General features: G+C 43.3%; 1 protein-coding gene across 2 annotated transcripts in view, besides 1 other annotated feature; it reads left to right on the top strand.

Annotated features, from left to right (window-relative positions):
• Window positions 1-20,566, top strand: part of MYO1D (myosin ID) — a 384,603-nt gene that overhangs the window by 314,833 nt on the left and 49,204 nt on the right. The window lies entirely within an intron of this gene.
• Window positions 15,674-16,173: an enhancer, noted in NCBI's record as "OCT4-NANOG-H3K4me1 hESC enhancer chr17:30873137-30873636 (GRCh37/hg19 assembly coordinates)". NCBI's record gives its function as "activates a minimal SCP1, AML or CMV promoter by ChIP-STARR-seq in primed H9 embryonic stem cells {active_cell/tissue: H9 hESC(primed)}" and the evidence as "EXISTENCE:reporter gene assay evidence [ECO:0000049][PMID:30033119]".

Raw genomic sequence — 20,566 nt, 5'->3', positions numbered from 1 at the left:
AAGTTTTTTTATGTGTGTAATATTATATTCTGATTGTGGTCACAATTTCAAAAAAAATGTTCATTGAAAGAACGAGCGTATCAGCCTGGGCAACGTGGCAATACCCGTTTCTACAAAAAAATACAAAAACTTACTTAGCCCAGCGTGGTGGCATGCACCTGTAGTCCCAGCTCCTCGGGTGGCTGAGGTGGGAGAGTGGCTTAAACCCAGGAGGCCAAGACTGCAGTGAGCTGTGATTGTGCCACTGTACTCCAGCCTGGGTGACACAGCAAGACCCCTGTCTCCAAAAAAAAAAGAGAGAGAAGAAAATATGCCAAAATGGTTTATGCTGACTGCTTTTGTTTTTACTGCTTTGAACTTTTCTGTGTTTTCCAGCTTTACTTCAATGAGGACATATTGCTTGATAATCACAGAAAATTTTTAACTCTTTATAGCAAAAGTTAATTACTAAAAGGATACGTAAAATATAATATTTCTATGTTAATATGTCAAAATATTAACAGTGGTTCTCTCTCTAGATGATGAGATGGTATTATGGATAAAATTTGATTTCTTTATAGCTTTTTGTCACTTTCCAAGTTTTCTTTTTTTTTTTTTTTTTTTGAGACAGAGCCTCCCTCTGTCTCCAGACTGGAGTGCAGTGGCGGGATCTCGGCTCACTGCAACCTCCTCCTCCTGGGTTCAAGCGATTCTCCTGCCTCAGCCTCCCAAGTAGCTGGGACTACAGGCACGCACCACCACGCCCAGCTAATTTTTTTGTATTTTTAGTAGAGACGAGGTTTCACCATGTTGGCCAGGATGTTCTTGATCTCCTGACCTCATGATCCGCCTGCCTTGGCCTCTCAAAGTGCTAGGATTACAGGCATGAGCCACCACACCCAGCCACTTTCCAAATTTTCTACAATAAACATGTATGAATTTTAGAATTAAAAAAAAAGGAGAGAGTTGGAAAAAAATTGAAGCAAAAAAAGAACTTACAAATGTAGAATTTGTAATGGGACTGAGTGATGGATGTTATAAGTGCCGGTTTACTCTTACACATTTTCAAAAACATACCTCTCTTTGAAAGATTCACCAGCTAGACTGGGCTTTGTGGCTCACACCTGTAATGCCAGACTTTGGGAGGTTGAGGCGGGTGGATCACCTGAGGTCAGGAGTTCGAGACTAGCCTGGCCAACATGGTGAAACCCTGTCTCTACTAAAAATACAAAAATTAGCCGGGCGTGGTGGCAGGTGCCTGTAATCCTAGCTACTCAGGAGGTTGAGGCAGGAGAATCACTTGAACCCAGGAGGCAGAGGTAGCAGTGAATCGAGATCACACCATTGCACTCCAGCCTGGGCAGCAAGAGCAAGACTCTCAAAAAAAAAAAAAAAAGCCACGCATAGTGGCTCATGCCTGTAATCCTCGCACTTTGGGAGGCCAAGGCGGGCAGATCACGAGATCGGGAATTTGAAACCAGCCTGAACAACACGATGAAACCCCGTCTCTACTAAAAATACAAAAATTAACTAGGAATGACGGCACACGCCTGTAATCCCAGCTACTCAGTAGGCTGAGGCAGGAGAATCACTTGAACCCGAGAGGCGGAGGTTGCAGAGAGTTGAGATTTTGCAACTGCCCTCCAGGCTGGGTGACAGAGCAAGACTCCATCTCAAAAAAAAAAGATTCACCGGCTAATCTTGAGTCAGAATTTTTAACTTTAGGTATAAAAGTTATATATATATATATATATATATATATATATATATATATATATATATATGTTGTCTCTGGGTATTACTTTTTTTTTACTTAAATATCTCCATAACATACATTTCTTTCTTGCAGTAACTTTTGTGGACTACTACTGTCTCTTTTGGCTTCATCTCAGTATTACTTAAACTCCAGAAACTGTGTCTCTGATAACCTGCCATAGTCATATGAATCAATTACCATATTTATGCAAAAAAGAAGAGACTAGCTTATTCTTCAGAATAGTTTAGTATTTTAACATCAGGCATATACAGCTTGTCACAAACACTTTTTCCTTTTTTTTTGAGATGGAGTCTCATTCTGTCGCCCAGGCTGCAGTGCAGTGGTGCAATCTCGGCTCACTGCAACCTCCGCCTCCCAGGTTCAAGCAGTTCTCCTGCCTCATCCTCCTGAGTAGCTGGGATTACAGGCACATGCCACCACACCTGGCTAATTTTGTATTTTTAGTAGAGATGGGGGTTTCACCATGTTGGTCAGGCTGGTCTTGAACTCCTGACCTCGTGATCTGCCCGCCTTGGCCTCCCAAAGTGCTGGGATTACAGGCGTGAGCCACCACACCTGGCACACTTTTTATGCAGTTGGATGAGGGTTTCTATAGGATAACTACTGTGTCACTGCATTACAATACCATAGCATTGACAAATACAGACAGTGACACTGAAGAGTCAAGAAATACTTCATTTAAAGGTCTGTGGCTGGGAATGGATATAATTGATTTAAATTACAAAAAATTAATGATAGATATCAATAAAAAGAGAAGTTAAAGATAGTAAAACGTATTAGGATGGAAATGATGAAATGTGATAAAAAGATAATGGTAACAAAGTGCCAGAAGTGTTCAATTTAGGCAAATTAAATTTAACAGAGTTTAATTGAGCAAAGAATGATTCACAAATCAGGCAGCCTCCGGAACCAGAATAGATTGAGAACAACTCTGGGGCTGCCACATGGTCAGATAATGTTTATGGACAGAAAAAGAAAGTGAGTATACAAAACAGAAGTAAACTACAGAAGCAGCTGGATTGGCTACAGCTGAGCATGTGCCTTATTTGACCTTGGCTTGAACAGCTGAACACCTGTGATTGGCTGAAACTCAGCTGAAACTCAAGTGATTGAGTGAGACTCAGCTCCGAGTTTCAAGAGTAGATTATGGTCTGCTCACACATCCAGTTAGGTTACAGGTCATTATGTGTGGAGAAACCTTTAGTCCAAACTTAAAATATGTAAGGAGGCAACATTAAGCTAAACTTAATTTAAGAAAAGTATATGAGAAAAATAAATTGCGCTTCAGAAAACAGTTGAGATCCCTATTGTATATGGATTACAAACCCTTTTTTATACAAGCTTTTCTTTAAAGAACATGCCCCAACAAGTAAAGTTCAGGAAATTCAAGATCCAATTCAGTAATTTAGAAGCCCTTGAAAGACAATTTGGTTCATATTGCACACACACAAGCACACGTTCTGAGATACTTATTAAACACATGCAGATAATAAAAATAGTTAACATTTGTCTAGTCCTTAGTCTGTGCTAGGCTATATTGAAAGCACCATGCATATGTTAGCTCATATAAGCCTCACAGTAACTCTAGAAGGTGGGCCCTATTATTACTGCCATTTATAGCTGGAGAAACTGAGGCATGGAAGGGTTCAGTGGCTTTCTCAGGACCACAGCTAATTATTATAGTAATGGACCAGAGCTCAGACAGTCTGGCTCCAGCATCTACTCCCCGCCTCAGTGTCTTGTCCCAAGACTATACTCCCTGTCAGATGTAGGGTACTGGTATTATTCAAAGCAGAGGAAGTAAAATATTTAAAACGGAAGCACATTTTAAAATAGAAAATGAGAGGGGCAGAAGAGACGGAGCGTGTTAATGACCTCTATATCCTCTCATCTCCCTGGGAATTCATTCTATAGCAAAACCAGGGAGAACTGTGGAGGAAGCCTGGTTCTCTTGAAAAGAAAGAACATTTCTGGGCTCTTATTCTCAGCGGTTGTGTTATCTGACAATGCGCCCTTGCATGGAGAGTGGTTTGTTTGCTGTTTTCAAACCACAGGTGTGAGCATGTGATGATAGCAGTGCATTACTGATTTTCTGTTCATCCTGCAGTGAAAAAGCACAATGTAATGTGCTTCCATAAGGTGTGAAGTAAAACACTTTTAATCAAACTTCAAAGAACACTCTTCTCTTCTGAGAGCAAAGCCTTGTTTCCTTGCTGCTCCATCTTCTGTTCAGTGTTAACTGTCTGCTGCCCATCTCCAGCCTGGCTGTGCTCAGAAATAAATTGTTTCCATTGGGCCTAGGCACTCAAGGGTTGGAACTTACTCTTGAGATCAAGGAGGGCCCTGCCTCTCAGAGTGTTTCTTTTTATCATCCCATGGTTTCCCACACAGACAAACTGTTTTAAACTAGACCTGAGGTTGACAAACTTTGATCCACAATAGAATCTGGCCCACCCCCAAGATGACTTTGCATTTTTATATGTTTAAGGGGATAAAAACTCAAGAGAGGTTTAATATTTTGTAACACCTGAAAATTATGTAAAATTCAAATTGTGTCTATAAATAACATTTTATGGGAACACAGCCATGCCCATTCATTTACGTCCACAGTTTCAATAAATGTGGACATGGCTGTGGAGTGTGGACATAAATGAATGAGCGTGGCTGTGTTCCCATAAAATGTTATTTATAAACACAATTTGAATTTTATATAATTTTCAGGTGTCACAAAACATTATATAATTATGTCCAAATTACATAGTTACAGTGCAGACTGTATGACCTGCAAAGCTGAAATATTTACCATCTTTCCTCTTATAGAAAGACTTTGCTGAGCGAAACCCCATCTCTGCAAAAAATACAAAATTTAGGCATGGTGGCGTGCTCCTGTAGTCCCAGCTACTGGATGGGGGTGAGGGTGGGTAACGGGAGGATCGCTTGAACCTGTGAGGTTGAGACTGAAGTGACCCAAGATCCTGCCACTGCACTCTGGCCTGAGTGACAGAGCAAGACCTTGTCTCAAAAAAAGAAGAAAAAGAAAAAAAAGGAAGTTTGCCGACTCCTGAACTAGAGCACCAGAGCATCTCAAGCCCCACCCAGTTTGGCCACCTTTACTAAAGATGAACTAGGCCGGGCACAGTGGCTCACACCTGTAATCCCAGCACTTTGGGAGGCCAAGGCAGGTGGATCACGAAGTCAGGAGTTCGAGGCCAACATGGTGAAACCCCATCTCTACTAAAAATAAAAAAAATTAGCCGGGCGTGGTAGCGGGCATCTGTAATCCCAGCTACTCAGGAGGCTGAGGCAGGAGAACAGCTTGAAACCGGAAGGCAGAGGTTGCAGTGAGCCGAGATCACGCCACTGAACTCCAGCCTGGACAACAAGAGTGAAACACCATCTCAAAAAAAAAAAAATGGATAAACTAAGCCTGCCGAGTGAAAGGCACACATCATTTCACTGAATGATAACTGCAGGGTGTCCCACAAGCTGCTGGCCATTCTCTACATTCATCATAGTTTAAACTGCTTTAATTGGGGTGATTTCCCTGCATCATTTGTCTGTAAAATATGTGAGATCTCTTCCTAGAGGTCTCACCAAGCCACATTGTAAAGGAAACAAACATCATCAAGTTTCAGGTTCCACAAAGAGCCTGTAAATTCCTTAGGTTAGGGAGTTTAGCACAAATCATTTTCTCACAGACCCAAAACACTATAATATTCCTATTTTGTCTTCATTTAATTCCCATGGTCTTAATGTTAAATGTGATGTTCATTTTTTAAATGTGAAGCTCAAGAATAAGTTGCTAACTAACTTGTTGCTAAAATCCAGTTTTATATGTAGTTAAACATTTTGGCTGAGTGCAGTGGCTCATGCCTACAATCCAGACACTTTGGGAGGCTGAGGTGGGAGGATCTCTTGAGCCCAGGAGTTCAAGACCAGCCTGAGCCACATAGCAAGATCCCATCTTAAAAAAAAAAAAAAAAATTGTGGCCATAAACCCTGTGTCTGCACGGTTTACAGTGGGCTTGTGTGAGCTGAAGCTGGCCTGTAGGCAGTGTTTCATCATCTGTGTGACCTGTAGCAACTGTTCAATTCTAGAATGGCTTCCTCCACCCACTTCGAGCCCTCAGGAGCCCCACTCACCCATTCATTCAGAGCACCCACTTGTTGACCACCTGCAGTGGGCCAGGCCTTGGCTGCTCTATCCAGTCTGTGTCAGAGCACCTACAGTCCATGGCAGGCAACAGCTGTAAAGAAAGAACTGCATTAAGTTAGAAAAATATAGGTAAGAGAAGATTGGTAGAGATGAGTCTCCCCCATTGGGAGTCCCATGGCAGCACATAGAAAGGCTTTACAAAGCAGTTGGTCTTCCCACTGTTTGCCCATTCCGTAAATAACTACGTGCACCTGCCATGTGCAAGGCCCTGGGTTAGACACATCACACTCCCTGTTCTCAACCTTACATTCCAGTGGGGCAAACACACAAAACCCAAGTAAACAAATGAGTAAAAATAATTCGATATGATAAGTGCTAAGGAGGAATAAGCAGGGCTCTGAGGCAGAAAACGAGGTGCCCTCTTTTCATAGAGTGGTGGGAGAAGGCCAAATGAAGAGGTGACACTTCAGCTCAGGCTCGGAAGATGAACAGGAACTGTGAAGACCAACCCAGTCAGGAAGAATAGTTGGTGCAAAGGCCCTGAGGCAGAAAAGAACTTAGTATGCTTGAGGAATTGAAAGCTGGCCAGGAGTTGGAGGAACAGACCATTAGCCACGGCTTTGCACGTGGTGTGAGGAGGGGTGTGGCTATTGTGGGCAAGGGTCTGGAATGGCATGGGTGTTGGTGGATGTGCCACGGATACAGGATTCTAGCCGGGACGAGCGGGAAAAGCAGGCTGGAAAGCCAAGGAGGAGGCAGATTGCGACAAGCCTAGGATACCAGGTCAAGAGATTTTGGTTTTATGCAACAGACAACAGGCAGCCAGAACAGAGGAGGATTTTGTGTTTCCACTTAAAAATATTTTTTCTGACAACAAAGTAACTCTATTTGTAGAAATTTTAGAAAATATACACAAGTACATTAAAAAAAACTGGAAGCACACATTCAAACCATTGTTCACATTTTTATATCTTCTTTGCATATAGATCTGTGTATAGTTTTACAAATATGAGATTCTTCTGTACATTCTATCTTATAATTGTGATTTCACTTAACAATATAGAGCAAACATTCTGAAAATGTTTTCCTGTGTCACTGTTCTTTTCCAGCACAGCTTGTAATATCTGTGTGGTATTTCATGCTAACCACACAGGTGTTAAAGGCTGTGCTGGAAAGGAACAGTGACACAGGAAATTTGTGCTAAATTCGTACATTTATTCGACAAGCCCTGCGATTGAGCACCTAGAATGTTTCTAATTTTCAGCCTTACAAACAGTGCTGTGATAATTATCCTTAAAATGATGTATTTATTCATATCCGTAATTGTTTCCTTAGGAATTCCTAGAGACAGAGTTGCGGGGTCAAAAAGTGTATATTTTTTAAGGCTTTTCGTACATTTTTCTAGATTAGCTTCCTAAAAGCTTGTACCATGTTATGCTCCTACCAGCCAAGTGTGAGCATACTTCACTTACCAAGCTACTCACTTTGCACTAGATTTAATTGGCCCGTTTGAAAAGGAAAAAACTTCGTATATCCATTGTTTCAGTCTGCATTTCTTAAATGAAATTGAACGTTTTCTGCCATGGGTCTACCTGTGATTTGTACGTGTTTCATGGATTATTCATATCCTTTGCTGATTTTTTTTCTTTTGGTGTGTTTATGATTTGGTTACTAATTTTTAGGAGCTTTTTATATATTAAGACCATTTACACTACTTGCAGATACTTTCCCAGTCTGTCTTTCTGCATTCTTTTTTCAACAAAAGTTTTGCATTTGTATGTGGTCAATTCTGTCCTTTCCTTTAGCCTTTACATGAATGCTTTTCCCCACTGAAAGATCAGGTAAATATTCACTTATATATCCTTCCCATTCTTCAGTACTTTTACAAATTTTAATAATTTTTATATTATAAATTTCAATAATTTGTCATCTTTAATCAGATTTCTGTATTTCAAAGATAACTGAAGAAGTGTGGAGAAGGTTCCAGAGGGGAAGGAACTGGTATCAGGGAGACCAATTAACTAGGTGTTGCAGTTGCCCAAGAGGGATCTGGCCATGGCAGTGATTCCAACCCTTTCCTGCCCCCACACAGTCTAATTGTACAGAGTACACCCATCAGGAGTAGCTCTCACTATGTGCAGTGATTCTCAACCTCAGGTAGGGGCAGGGGCAGGGGCAGGGGCAGGGGCAGGGACTCTCAGCTCAGTTGAGAATCCCAGTGGAGTTTTAAAGGAAAGAACATATTGAACAGAGGCTCAGGAGGGCAGGCAACTGAATGGCTGTAGGTGATGAGCAGAGTAACTGGTGACTCAGGTATTTTATTTAGGTGAGTTGGTAGATCACGGTTCCATTAGCCTAGACCATAACAACTATGGGAGGCAGAGGCAGAGCCATAGAAAGGAGGGGAAGAGCATGGAAGATGACACAGACATGTTAGAACGTACTTATTTTAAAAGGATATAGTTCAGTTCAGGTGGAAATATCTAAGCAGTGAGAACGGGGAGCCTGGACCCCAGGAGTCTGTACTGGGGAGTGTGGATTGGGAAGCCAGCTTAAAGGAAGTTGAAGTGGTGGGAGTGAATGAAACAAGCCATGTGTGGAGAAGAAGAAGAAAAACATGGCCAATAAGGAACTCTCAGGAACATAACATTCCAAAGGTGGGAAAGGGGTGTTGAGGAGGAGAAATAAGTAAACAGGACTAAGAAGAACTTGTCAAAGAAGTAGGAGAAGCAGAATGACAGCAGTGCCGAGAGAAAAAGAGTTTCAAGGAGAGGGAATGGTCTTCAGCTTTGGAACTTTCTAGCAAGATACCTAGGCCCTTCATTGTGCCATCAAAACCCACGTCCTTTTTCAGCTGCTAGAAGAGGAGCTGATTCTTTCTGCTAGACTCTTTCCTATTCTATGTCAGGTCCATTCGCAGCCCTGGTAATTGCACACACTGCTTCCTCCACCCACAATACTCTCCCCTGCTCTTCCTGGTGAGCCACTCCTCTTTCAGGAACCACTTCAAATATCGCCTCCTCTGTAAAGGCAGTCCTATTCAGCCTTCTGCAAAATTCACTCAACACTGTTGTGAATTTCTCAGAGGTCCCTTGGCACTATAGTTCATCTCTCTAGCTAGCATGCCACCTTGTGTAGTAGTTTTCTACTTCTCAGTGCTTTTCAGGCTCCTCTAAGGAGTTCCCCCAGCAACAGGGAAGAGTTAACTCAACATTCACCAGGGACATATCCCAACACAGCCTATGACATGCTGCTGGTTTTTTTGTTTTTTTTTTTGTTTTGTTTTTTGTTTTTTTTTTTTTGTCTTAGAGAATGGCATCTCACTATATTGCCCATACTGGCCCTGAACTCCTGGACTCAAGCAGTCCTCCTGCCTCAGCCTCCCAGAGTGCTGGGATTATGGGCGTGAGTCACTGTGCCCAGCCTGGCATGCTTCTTTAAAGGCCTGTGTTTTGGTAATGGTTGATGCTGTTTTTCATGCTGTCATTCTAAATGTTGGTTTTAATTTACTTGGGTGTCAGGTGTTTCCAGTTACTTACATGGAGTAAAGCTTAGTCTCCAGCAAGTTTCTCCATCTTCGTTCTGTGGTTTCGCTTACTATAGCACCCTGATGCACATCCAAGGGAAATAATCGTGTCCCGGTTTAAGAAGCTTCAGTTTCCACATCTGTATCTTCCATTGGAGCAAGAGCATTTCCACTGCAGTGACTGTTCTTAAACATCCTCTCTCTAGTACCCAGCACAGTACCTAGGACATAGTAAGCATTGGTGTATACATTTACAGAAGCAAAGGACAGAAGGAGGAAGGTGGGAGATGAAAGAGTGGATGGATGGATAAAAGGAAGGAGGGCAAAAAAGGGGAGGTGAACAGATGAACAGATGGTTGGGAGGGAGACAAGGAGGGGAGGGATGGATGAATGGATGGATGGATGGATGGATGGATGGATGGATGGATGGATGGGTGGATGGATGGATGGATTACAAAGGTTAAAGAGTGAGCAATGCAGGCCAGGCTGTGGCTCATGCCTGTAATACCAGCACTGTGGGAGGCCCAGGTGGGCCAATTATTTGAACCCAGGAGTTCAAGACCAGCCTGGGCAATATAGTAAGACCCCCATCTCTACAAAAAATACAAAAATTAGCCAGGTGTGGTAGTGTGTGCCTCTAGTCCCAGCTACTCAGGAGGCTGAGGTGGGAGGATTGCTTGAGTCCAGGAGGCTGAGGCTGCAGTGAGCCATGATTACGCCAATGCCCCTCTGCCTAGGCAACAAAGCAAGACCCTGTCCAAACGAAACAAAACAAAAAACAGTGCATAAGTAAAGCTTGACTGCAAAGTACGATGAGGGAGAAGACATTAGCTATGGATAGTTTATTTTAACTTCAAGGCATTTGGTAGCAGTGGAGGGATAGGGAAGAACAGGTGGACTTTTTGGTCTTTTGTTTACTGGAGGAGATTTGAACATGCTTCTAGGCTAAGGACAAAGCAGATAGCCACTGGAGGAGAGACTGAAAATATTTATTCAATCAAGAAATATTTATTGAGTACCAACAATGTGCCAGGCTCTGTACAGGAAGTGAGCAAGATATAGACGGTGTTCCTGTGCCATGGAACTTTCATTCCAGCAGAAAATAGAAAGGATAATGGGTCATGATCCATGAGAAAATGGAACCGCGTGCTGATTGGTGTGTTCTCGGGAAGAGCAAAATGTTTTAATGTTAGTCCAGGTCAAACATAATTATGAAGGTGAGACTCCCGAAGGGAAAAGCCACATACATTCCAAAGCCACCTGGATGCGTGTGTGTGTGTGTGTGTGTGTGTGTGTGGCAGTGGGATGGTGGGTGGGGGGACATAGAGAAAGAGCAAAAGTAAAGCTGGACGTGTCCAATGTATATTTGCCAAAAACATTTTTCTCTCCTGTGATTCAGACAAGGTGGTGCTTTCAGGATATACAAGTGAAACCAAGGCAGAAAAAGACATGGCCAAGTCTTGTCTAGCCGGTTAGCCTAAGCTTTTCTGGTCTTTTGTAAGTGACTCATTTCCCTTTTGTGTGGTTTTCTTAATATATTCTGCATAAGGCTGGCTGTTACATCCAAACAGAAGCAAAATGTATGATCTGAGCATGCACTGCCTCTTGATCTAATCCACTTCTTAATTACATTTATGTTCATTGTCTTTGAGTCCTATAGTTTGGGACAATTCTACAGGCTCCCCACCCCTAGAAGTCATTCATTATCAGCTACCAGCCACTCAATGTTTAGTTATAGTGAATAAAATACTTTCAGTGTCAGAAACTATAGATCTCATTTCTAACTCTAGATTAATTCTGTTTCGCTGATAATATTAAGAAATGGCTGTAAATTGGATGAAAATATTCTAAAATTATTTCACTATTATCATTTCTTTCTCTTTTTTTTGACACTCTGTTGCCTAGGGCTGGAAGGCAATGGTACAATCATAGCTCCCTGTAACCTCAACCTTCCAGGCTCAAGTGATCCTCCCACCTCAGCCACCCAAGTAGCTGAAACCTAGCTAATTTTTAAATTTTTTGTAAAAACAGCATCTCACTACATTACCCAGGCTGGTCTCCAACTCCTGGGCTCAAGCTGTCCTCCCTCCTCAGCCTCCAAAAGTGCTGGGATTTCAGGCCTGAGCCACAGTGCGTGGCCCACTTTTATTACTCCTATTTCTATTATTATAGGCTATCCCCAAATACTTTTTAGAAGTAGGCAGAGTATATTCGCAAGTACCTTTTTAATTACCTAGAAAACAAATCTACAAAGAATGAAGACATGGGACTCAGTTTGTGATTTCCTCATTTTTAATGTGTGGTATTATAGAGGCCTTACTAATCCTCTGTGATTAGCTGTGGAAAATTTTGCTTTAATCTTTGCAACAGGTTAGATCATGAGACAGTGAACACCAAAAAAAAATTGCAACTCTGTAGTATTGAAAAAATTTTATATGGCATATTTCTTGTAACAAAGCATAGCTCAGGCTGGGCGCAGTAATCCCGGCACTTTGGGAGGCCAAGGCAGGCAGATCACCTAAGATCAGGAGTTCGAGACCAGCCTGGCCAACACAGTGAAACTCCGTCTCTACTAAAAATACAAAAATTAGCCGGCCATGGTGGTGCACACCTGTAATCCCAGCTACTTGGAAGGCTGAGGCACGAGAATCACTTGAACCAGCAAGGCAGGGGTTGCAGTGAGCTGAGATTACACCGCTGCCCTCCAGCCTGGGCAACAGAGTTAGACTCCATCTCAAAAAAAAAAAAAAAAATTATAGCTCAAAGCTTGAAAATCATTTTGTTTTCATGGGATTCATTGTAAAGGAGATTTGACCTAACATATTATTAATACTGATCTTTTCATTCCGTTAAGTATTCACTATCATAGAACACTAAATTAGGCACATTCCATAGAACTTTATAGTTTTATGCTTTTTGTGATGGATAATACTGAGTGTCAACTTCATTGGATTGAAAGATGCAAAGTATTGATCCTGGGTGTGTCTGTGAGGATACAAAAGGCTTTCACACTGCATTTTACTCCTATTTCGCAATACTTCCATAAGATAGTTAATGCAATTAACGTGTCCTTCATGTGACAGATGAGGAAAATGAGGCTCTGGGATTGAAGAGACTTGACAAAAGTCATTCAGGTCATTGGTATTTGCATAGACCACACACCTTGCCACCAAGTAGTTCCCAGACTGAAGCAGAGGCAAATGACCATTTATGAGTGTAACCCTCCTAGCATGGCATCCAACTCATGGCAGACCCTCTCCAAACGTTAGCTATGTGCATTTAAACTTATAATTCCCACAAACAGAAGTGACATTAACACTACGGAAAACAGAGCTTCGTAAATTAGAAAGTCAGTGCTATGCCCCTCCTATGACCTCGCTAACATTTTCAGAAGGTGGCCCAGGGATTCCTGCTCACTACTTATCTTTAACGTTTATATTTGTAACAAACGATTAAGAGGGAGGGTGCAGTGGCTCACACCTGTAATCCCAGCACTTTGGGAGACTGAGCTGGGTGGATCACTTGAGCCCAGGAGTTTAAGACAAGTCTGGGCAAAATAGTGAGACCTTGTCTCTACAAAAATAATGAACAAAATTAGCTGGGTGTGGTGCTGTGTGCCTGTAGTCCTAGCTGCTCTGGAGGCTGAGGTGGGAGGCTCACTTGAGCCCAAGAGACAGAGATTGCAGTGAGCTGAGATGGCACCACTGAACTCCAGCCTGGACAACAGAACAAGACCCTGTCTCAAACAAACAAACAAAAAGGATTATGCATTTTGTGTAACATATATTTTTTCAGTGTAAATGTATGTGTATACAGATATATATAAAAATAATTAAAAGTCGGCCAGGCGCGGTGGCTCACGCCTGTAATCCCAACACTTTGGAGGCCGAGGCAGGTGGATCATTTGAGGTCAGGAATTCAAGACAAGCTTGGCCAACATGGTGAGACCCCATCTCTACTAAAAATACAAAAATTAGCTAGGCGCGGTGGTGCACACCTGTAATCCCAGCTACTTGGGAGGCTGAGGCAGGAGTATTGCTTGAACCCGGGAGGCAGAGGTTGCAGAGAGCCAAGATCATGCCACTGTACTCCAGCCTGGGCAACACAGTGAGACTCCATCTCAAAAAAAAAAAAAAAGACCAAAAAATAATTTAAAAAGAATTTAAAGTGGTACTGAATAAGAAGTCAGGTCTCCCCTCATTGGTGTCCCATGCAACACAGTGACTTCCCACTGGCACTGGAAAACAGGATTTTTCCCCACGTTGCCAAATGCTCATAGAGCCAGTGACCTGCTGAGGTCTTCTTGAGGAGCTCAGACAGCTCTTAACCTAGCTCTAACTCCTTCTTATTAGGCCCCTTCTCATTTTCCCTCCTCTGCCTTCTATACCTAGATAATCCTAGAGGATAAACTTTTTTTTTTTTTTCTTGAGACAGGTCTCGCTCTGTCACCCAGGCTGGAGTGCAGTGGCGCGATCTTGGCTCATTGCAACCTCCTTCTCCTCGGATCAAGCCATTCTCCCACCTCAGCCTCCCAGTAGCTGGGACTATATACGTGCACCACCATGCCCAGTTAATTTTTTGTATTTTTTGTAGAGACAAAAAATATAAAAGACCAGCCTTGTTGCCCAGGCTGGTCTCCAACTCCTGGGCTCAAGCAATCTGCCCACCTCAGCCACCCAAAGTGCTGGAATGACAGGCATGCCACCATGCCCTGCCTAGAGGACAAACTTTTGGCCAGAGCCAAATTTCTTCAGCAGGTGACAAACCCAGAAAGAAAGGGCTTAGGGTTCTATAGCAACTGCAATGATGAGTGCTCTCTCGTCATGTTAAGAACAAACTAAGGAAATTAAGAACTGGGCTGTCCAAAATGGACCACTCTCCGTAGTGAATTTTTTTTTTTTTTTAAGACACGGTCTTGCTCCTTCACCCAGGCTGGAGTGCAGTGCCACAATCTCAGCTCACTGCAACCTCTGCCTCCCAGGTTCAAGTGATTCTCCCACCTCAGCTTCCCATGTAGCTGAGACTACAGGCATGCACCACCACGCCCGGCTAATTTTTGTAGGTTTTTTAGTAGATTCAGGGTTTCGCCATGTTGGCCAGGCTGGTCTCGATCTCCTGGCCTCAAGTGATCGGCCTGCCTTGGCCTCCCAAAGTGCTAGGATTATAGGAGTGACCCACTGCGCTGAGCTACTATAGTGAATTCTCTATCACTGGAAATACTCAGGCTGAGATCAGACAATCACTTGGGATGCTGCAGAAGCGGTTGGTTGGTTGGACAAGACAATTATGAACAACCTTTCCTAATCTGAGCTTCTGTGATTCTGCGGCAGCAGAAGTCACCTTTATGCCTATGGACACATGAAGTGTGACATGTTAATGACTATGCATATGGAAAAGCGTGGCATTTATTTAATTTACCTAACTTAGAGCCTCACATTCCTTAGCTGTAAAACTGGGATAAAAATACCTGTCCCATGGGATTTTTATGCAGATTAATTTAAATCATGAAACATAATGTAAATTGCCTGCCGCTGTGTCTGGCAGGTACTCATTAGGTGCTGGTTATCTTTGAATATTCACAATATACCATGTGCTGTAACATATATGAAAAAAGACTTGATTGCTGCTTTGAGTTAGATGAGTTCTCGTGCCGGCACAATGGCCCACACCTGTAATGCCAACACTTTGGGAGGTAGAGGTGGGAGGATTTGCTTGAAGCCAGGAATTTGAGACTAGCCTGGGAAACATAGTAAGATGCTGTCTTTACAAAAAAAAAAATGTTTAATTAGCTGGGCACGGTGATGTAGTTCCAGCTACTCAGAAGGCTGAGGAAGGAGGATCACTGGAGCTCAGGAATTTGAGGCTGTAGTGGGCTGTGATTGTGCCACTGTACACTCCAGCCTGGTGACAAAGCAAGACCCTGTCTCTAAAAAAAAAAAAAAAAGGTTCTTATTTTTGTGACTTGGCCAGCCTTCAATAATGGAGCTCAGTGATAGCCTAGATAACCCAAACAAAATAAAGCAAACATCACTTTGAGGTGCACCTCTGAATTTGCATCTGGGCATTACTGATTTGCAGTACTACCTTTGCATTTTATAGGCTGTAAACTAATTGAATTTGAGATTCCTTTCTTGGAGTCTCAACTAAAAGGCAGGAGAACTCATATTTTCATATTTGGGAGCACAGGGGTTTGGGGAAACAGTAGGTTCTTTTTAAATGAATATCCTTGGCAGCCATGCCCCCCACAAATCCTTTTTCTGCTTCTCTAGGAAAGGTGCTGGAAAGCAGCCAGCACATAGGAATTAAAAAGACAACCGGCACAGAAGAGAAATGTGTGCTAAAAATACTAAAACCAACAAGGATTCATCATCTGAAAGCAAAATAGGTTTTCTGTGTGCCCCTGCTTCTGGACTTGCTCACAGTCGTGATGGCTCTGTGTTATTTGGGGGTGACAGTAATTATGGAGCTGGAGTGCTCCTCGACAAAGACAGACAGAGCTCCTCGCAGAGGGATGGTTTCCATGGCAATAGCATCAGCATCTGAATGACTTCCTGTCACAACAAGTTGGTGATTTAATGAGTTCATTACTGAATTCCAAAGGAAAACCAGAGAGTGGATGAGCTACTGTTCAGCCCTCAAAGTGGCTAAGTCCATAGTGAGGGAGCCATTTCTACCGGGTGCAGCATCAGAACCATTAACAGCTCAGGGCCGTTACAAAGGCAGCCTGGGTGCTCCAGGGCGGGTGTGTGAAGGGAAGGCGACCCAGACTGTGAATCTGCAGCCACGTGGTCTGGCAAGGCCTCAGTGGCTGTTATTCCAAGAGTGTGAAAGAATCATATGAGTCTCCACTAGAAGCTTTCCCTGGTTCAAACCCAATAAAATTCATATCACAGGAGTTTAGCTCAGGGCTTCAGATGCATACTCCCAAGTACCCCAAGTCCTTTAGAAAAGACACCGAGAAAAAGAAACAGACCTTAAATTCTTATTGTGTACAGAGGAAAGGGAGAAAGCATTTCATCCTACTTTCTGTTCTTCAGTATTGTAGAGATTGACACTTATGTGGAACCCCAAAAAAAAAAAAAATCACCTGGATACTTCAGAAATTGGAGATGTCATTCATGTGGCGAATTGCATATAAAATTTAAGCTGAGAGGTTATGTATCACAATAAGAATGTATAATAATTGACCTTTCATGCTTTACTATCTTCACTAATTAAAGTCTACCATATGGCTGGTAGAACAATGTAGCCTTAGGCTGATCAATTAACTAGGGACCAGTTAGGGACAGAAGTAAGACAGCGGTCATGATTCTCTGTGAGTGTCTTCCTAATAAGAGGTGGAATGGTATTCCACTCCTCTCACGTTCCTTTCCCCATTAGTTCAATAAATATTTGATCCCTCAAAGGGTTTACGATCTAATAATGGGGACTGACTACATTCAGAAGGAAGCCTAAAACAGGAGAATAATATGCCACTGTTTACTGATGTTTCCTGGGTGCTGCCACTGAGCCACATGCTTTACATACGTTTTCTCACTTACCCTGTATAACCCCATGAGATGAGCATTGCTCCCATTTTTTATATGAGGAAACTGAGCCCTGGAGAGGCTGTGTAAGCCAGAGGTGCCCACAGCTGGGAAGTGCAGAGTTAGGACTCCAACTCGAGTCTGACTCCTTGGTTTGTGTCTTGCGCACTCTGCCCAAAGAGAGATGCAGACTCGGGGCCACAGGCATTCAGCGGGAGAGGCCAGAGAGGGGCAAGATGGAACAAAGACCTTGTAAGGGGAAGAGATGCCTCCTCCCCTTGCTCCCCTACACTAAGCAGAGACTCCATATCAATACGCAAGGCAGGTGGACAAGGTCTGTGCCCAGATATAGGAAACAGAGAAAACTTGGAGAAAGAGAAGTCACAGAGAACTAAAAATATGCATTTTATCAAATATTTTACCAGATCAACTAATAAAATGGGGAATTTGACTAATTTGGCCATATATATATTATGCTTAGAAAAGCATACATAGTAAAGGTTGTAAGTATGAGTGTGTGTGTATATGTGTATGCATGAACAAGTGTTGATCATTTTCTCTTTTAATAAAAATAAGGAAAGCAACTGCCTGACTGATGTGATACTTGCAAAGAACACATAGTTGCCTCTTATTTTTCTATATGCAAGTATACCTACTTTCCAAAACATCTAGCATATTTTCCCAGGATCCCTGAGAGGTGTTGTTCTATCCTTGTCTTTCTAACAATGGGGAAGAGAGAAGATTGCTAGTATTCTCTAAGAGTACCTTCATAAGACGTGGTCAGCAACAGAACTTTTACCACCCCAATCCTACTCATTTTTGGAGATTCCTTTAAAATATACCACTATTTCATTAATCATGTGTACAATTTGGACAGTAGAATTTTTAAAAGAAAAGCTAGTGTCATATAAAACTTAGCAAGCTTTAGGCTGGGCACAGTGGCTCATGCCTGTAATCTCAGCACTTTGGGAGGCCAAGACAGGAAGATCGCTTGAACCTAGGAGTTCAAGACCAGCCTGGGCAACATAGTGAGACAGTGTCTCTACAAATTTTTTTTTTTTTTAATTAGCTGGGTATGGTAGTGCACACCTGTAGTCTCAGCTACTTGGGAGGCTGAGGCGGGAGGATCACCTGAGTGCGGGAGGTCAAGGCTGCAGTGAGCAGTGGTCATGCCACTGCACTCCAGTGTGGGCAACAGAGTGAGACCCTGTCTCAAAAAAAAAAAAGCAAGATTTGGCCAGGCGCGGTGGCTCACACCTGTAGTCCCAGCACTTTGGGAGGCCAAGGCGGGTGGATCACTTGAGGTCGGGAGGTCAAGACCAGCCTGGCCAACATAGTGAAACCCCGTCTCTACTAAAAATACAAAAATTAGCCAGGTGTGGTGGCACACGCCTATAGTCCCAGCTACTAGGGAGGCTGAGGCAGGAGAATTGCTTGAGCCTGGGAGGCGGAGGTTGCAGTGAGCAGAGACTATGCCATTGCAATCCAGCCTGGGTGACAGAGCGAGACTCCATCTCAAAAAAAAAAGCAAGATTTAAGTATTGCTTTAATATGCATGGGATTATCTAGTCAGGACTTAGCATGCCACCTCTTAGGGCTACAAGATCTGTGCTAGGCACACTCCACAGGTGCCACTCGCCTAGACTTTGACATGAAGGGCACCCTGGAGTAGTACAGCATGGCAGCCCTCACATTTTATTTATTTATTTATTTTTATTTTTATTTTTTATTTATTTATTTATTTGTTTGTTTTTGAGACAGAGTCTTGATGTTGCGCAGGCTGGAGTGCAGTGGCATGATCTCGGCTCACTGCAAGCTCCGCCTCCTGGGTTCACACCATTCTCCTGCCTCAGCCTCCCGAGAAGCTGGGACTACAGGGGCCCGCCACCACGCCCGACTAATTTTTTGTATTTTTAGTAGAGACAGGGTTTCACCGTGTTAGCCAGGATGGTCTCGATCTCCTAACCTCGTGATCTGCCCGCCACGGCCTCCCATAGTGCTGGGATTACAGGTGTGAGCCACCACACCCAGCCGGCCCTCACATTTTAAATGACTCACCAAATAATCAGATATGTAATTTGTTTATTTATTCATTTTTTTTTGAGACAGAGTCTCGCTCTGTCGCCCAGGCTGGAGTGCAGTGGCATGATCTTGGCTCACTGCAAGCTCCGCCTCCCAGGTTCATGCCATTCTCCTGCCTCAGCCTCCCGAGTAGCTGGGACTACAGGCGCCCGCCACCATGCCTGGCTAATTTTTTGTGTTTTTAGTAGAGACGGGGTTTCACCGTGTTAGCCAGGATGGTCTCGATCTCCTGACCTCGTGATCCACCTGCCTCGGCCTTCCAAAGTGCCGGGATTACAGGTGTGAGCCACCGTGCCCGGCCCAGATACGTAATTTATAATCATTGAATCCCAGGGTCGGAGTGGAGCTAATGATCATGAAATCCAGCTTCCTCTGTAGGCTATGCTCCCCAAAGTGTCCCACCCTTGCTTGGATACCTCTGGGGTTAGGGAACTCACTACTTCTAAGGGTTGGAGGGCAGCTTCCCACAGGCCTCACTGGACTGTGCTTATACAGGAAATATTTAGAAACTAGTCATTCATATATTGATCAGGAAATATTTAGATATTCCTGAAATACCATTGATACGGGAAATATTTAGCAACTAGTCATTCCTTCTTGTCCCCTAACTGTTGGCTTTTTTTTTTTTTTTTAGCGTTACCTCCTACAGGGTTTGCAAATGCAGTTTTCACATGCTGCCGGGTGTGAACAGCATACTGCTTTTGCTCTTTGGACGTCCCTTCTCATTAATACACATGTTTGGACATGAGGATCAATAAAGTGTTAATAAACTGACAAAACCACAGCTGAAATAGGACTTCACCAGTGTCACAAGACAGCCAGTGGGCCACCCCTCCCTGTCGCACCACGGAGGCAGAAGCAGGGCAGGTCTGCACACATATGCATTTAAGATAAGGCACAATAGCAGTGTGCCAGGCTCCTCAGCCCCAGAAAACAGAGAGGTTCTTCAGTCTGGATAGAGAAGTGGAAAATGCTTTCTTTTCTTTTTTTGTTATAACTGCTGGTGCCATGATAATCCTCTGTCGGCCCGGTGGTTATTTGGCACTTCGATTTCTTACTCTTTTTCACTGTGCAAGTCACTGAATGTAAAAGGTGAATAAGACATGAGGCACACAGACAAATACCTCTGAGAAGGGTAAGTGCTGTCATAGATGTGTGTTCTGGGAGCCAGGGGTTCCTAGAAGGAGCTGCAAACCTGGTGGAGAGGGAAGGACAGTCTCAGAGCCCTTGGGGGAGCTTCCTGGAAAGAGCTACAGCTGAGGAAACACGGAGGAGGAAGAAGAGAGGAATTAGCCGGGTGAAGTTAGGGGAGGAAAAGAGAGTATTACAGTAAAAGCAGGATGTGCTGAAGCTGTTTCAGGGAAGGCAAAGAGTTAAGTATACCTGCCTAAGGGGGTGGGGCGGGGAAGCACCCTGGAGGAGAGTTACAGGGATGAAAAGGAGGTTAGAGATAGGCAGGGGCCTAGTCCTAGGAAGCTTCAAATGCCAGGTGAATAATAAGAATGCACACATCGAGTACC

This window comes from Homo sapiens, chromosome 17 (genome assembly GCF_000001405.40).
Source record: "Homo sapiens chromosome 17, GRCh38.p14 Primary Assembly".
In the NCBI taxonomy this organism is placed as follows: Eukaryota; Metazoa; Chordata; class Mammalia; order Primates; family Hominidae; genus Homo; species Homo sapiens.
This window is presented reverse-complemented; position numbering and strand designations above follow the sequence as displayed.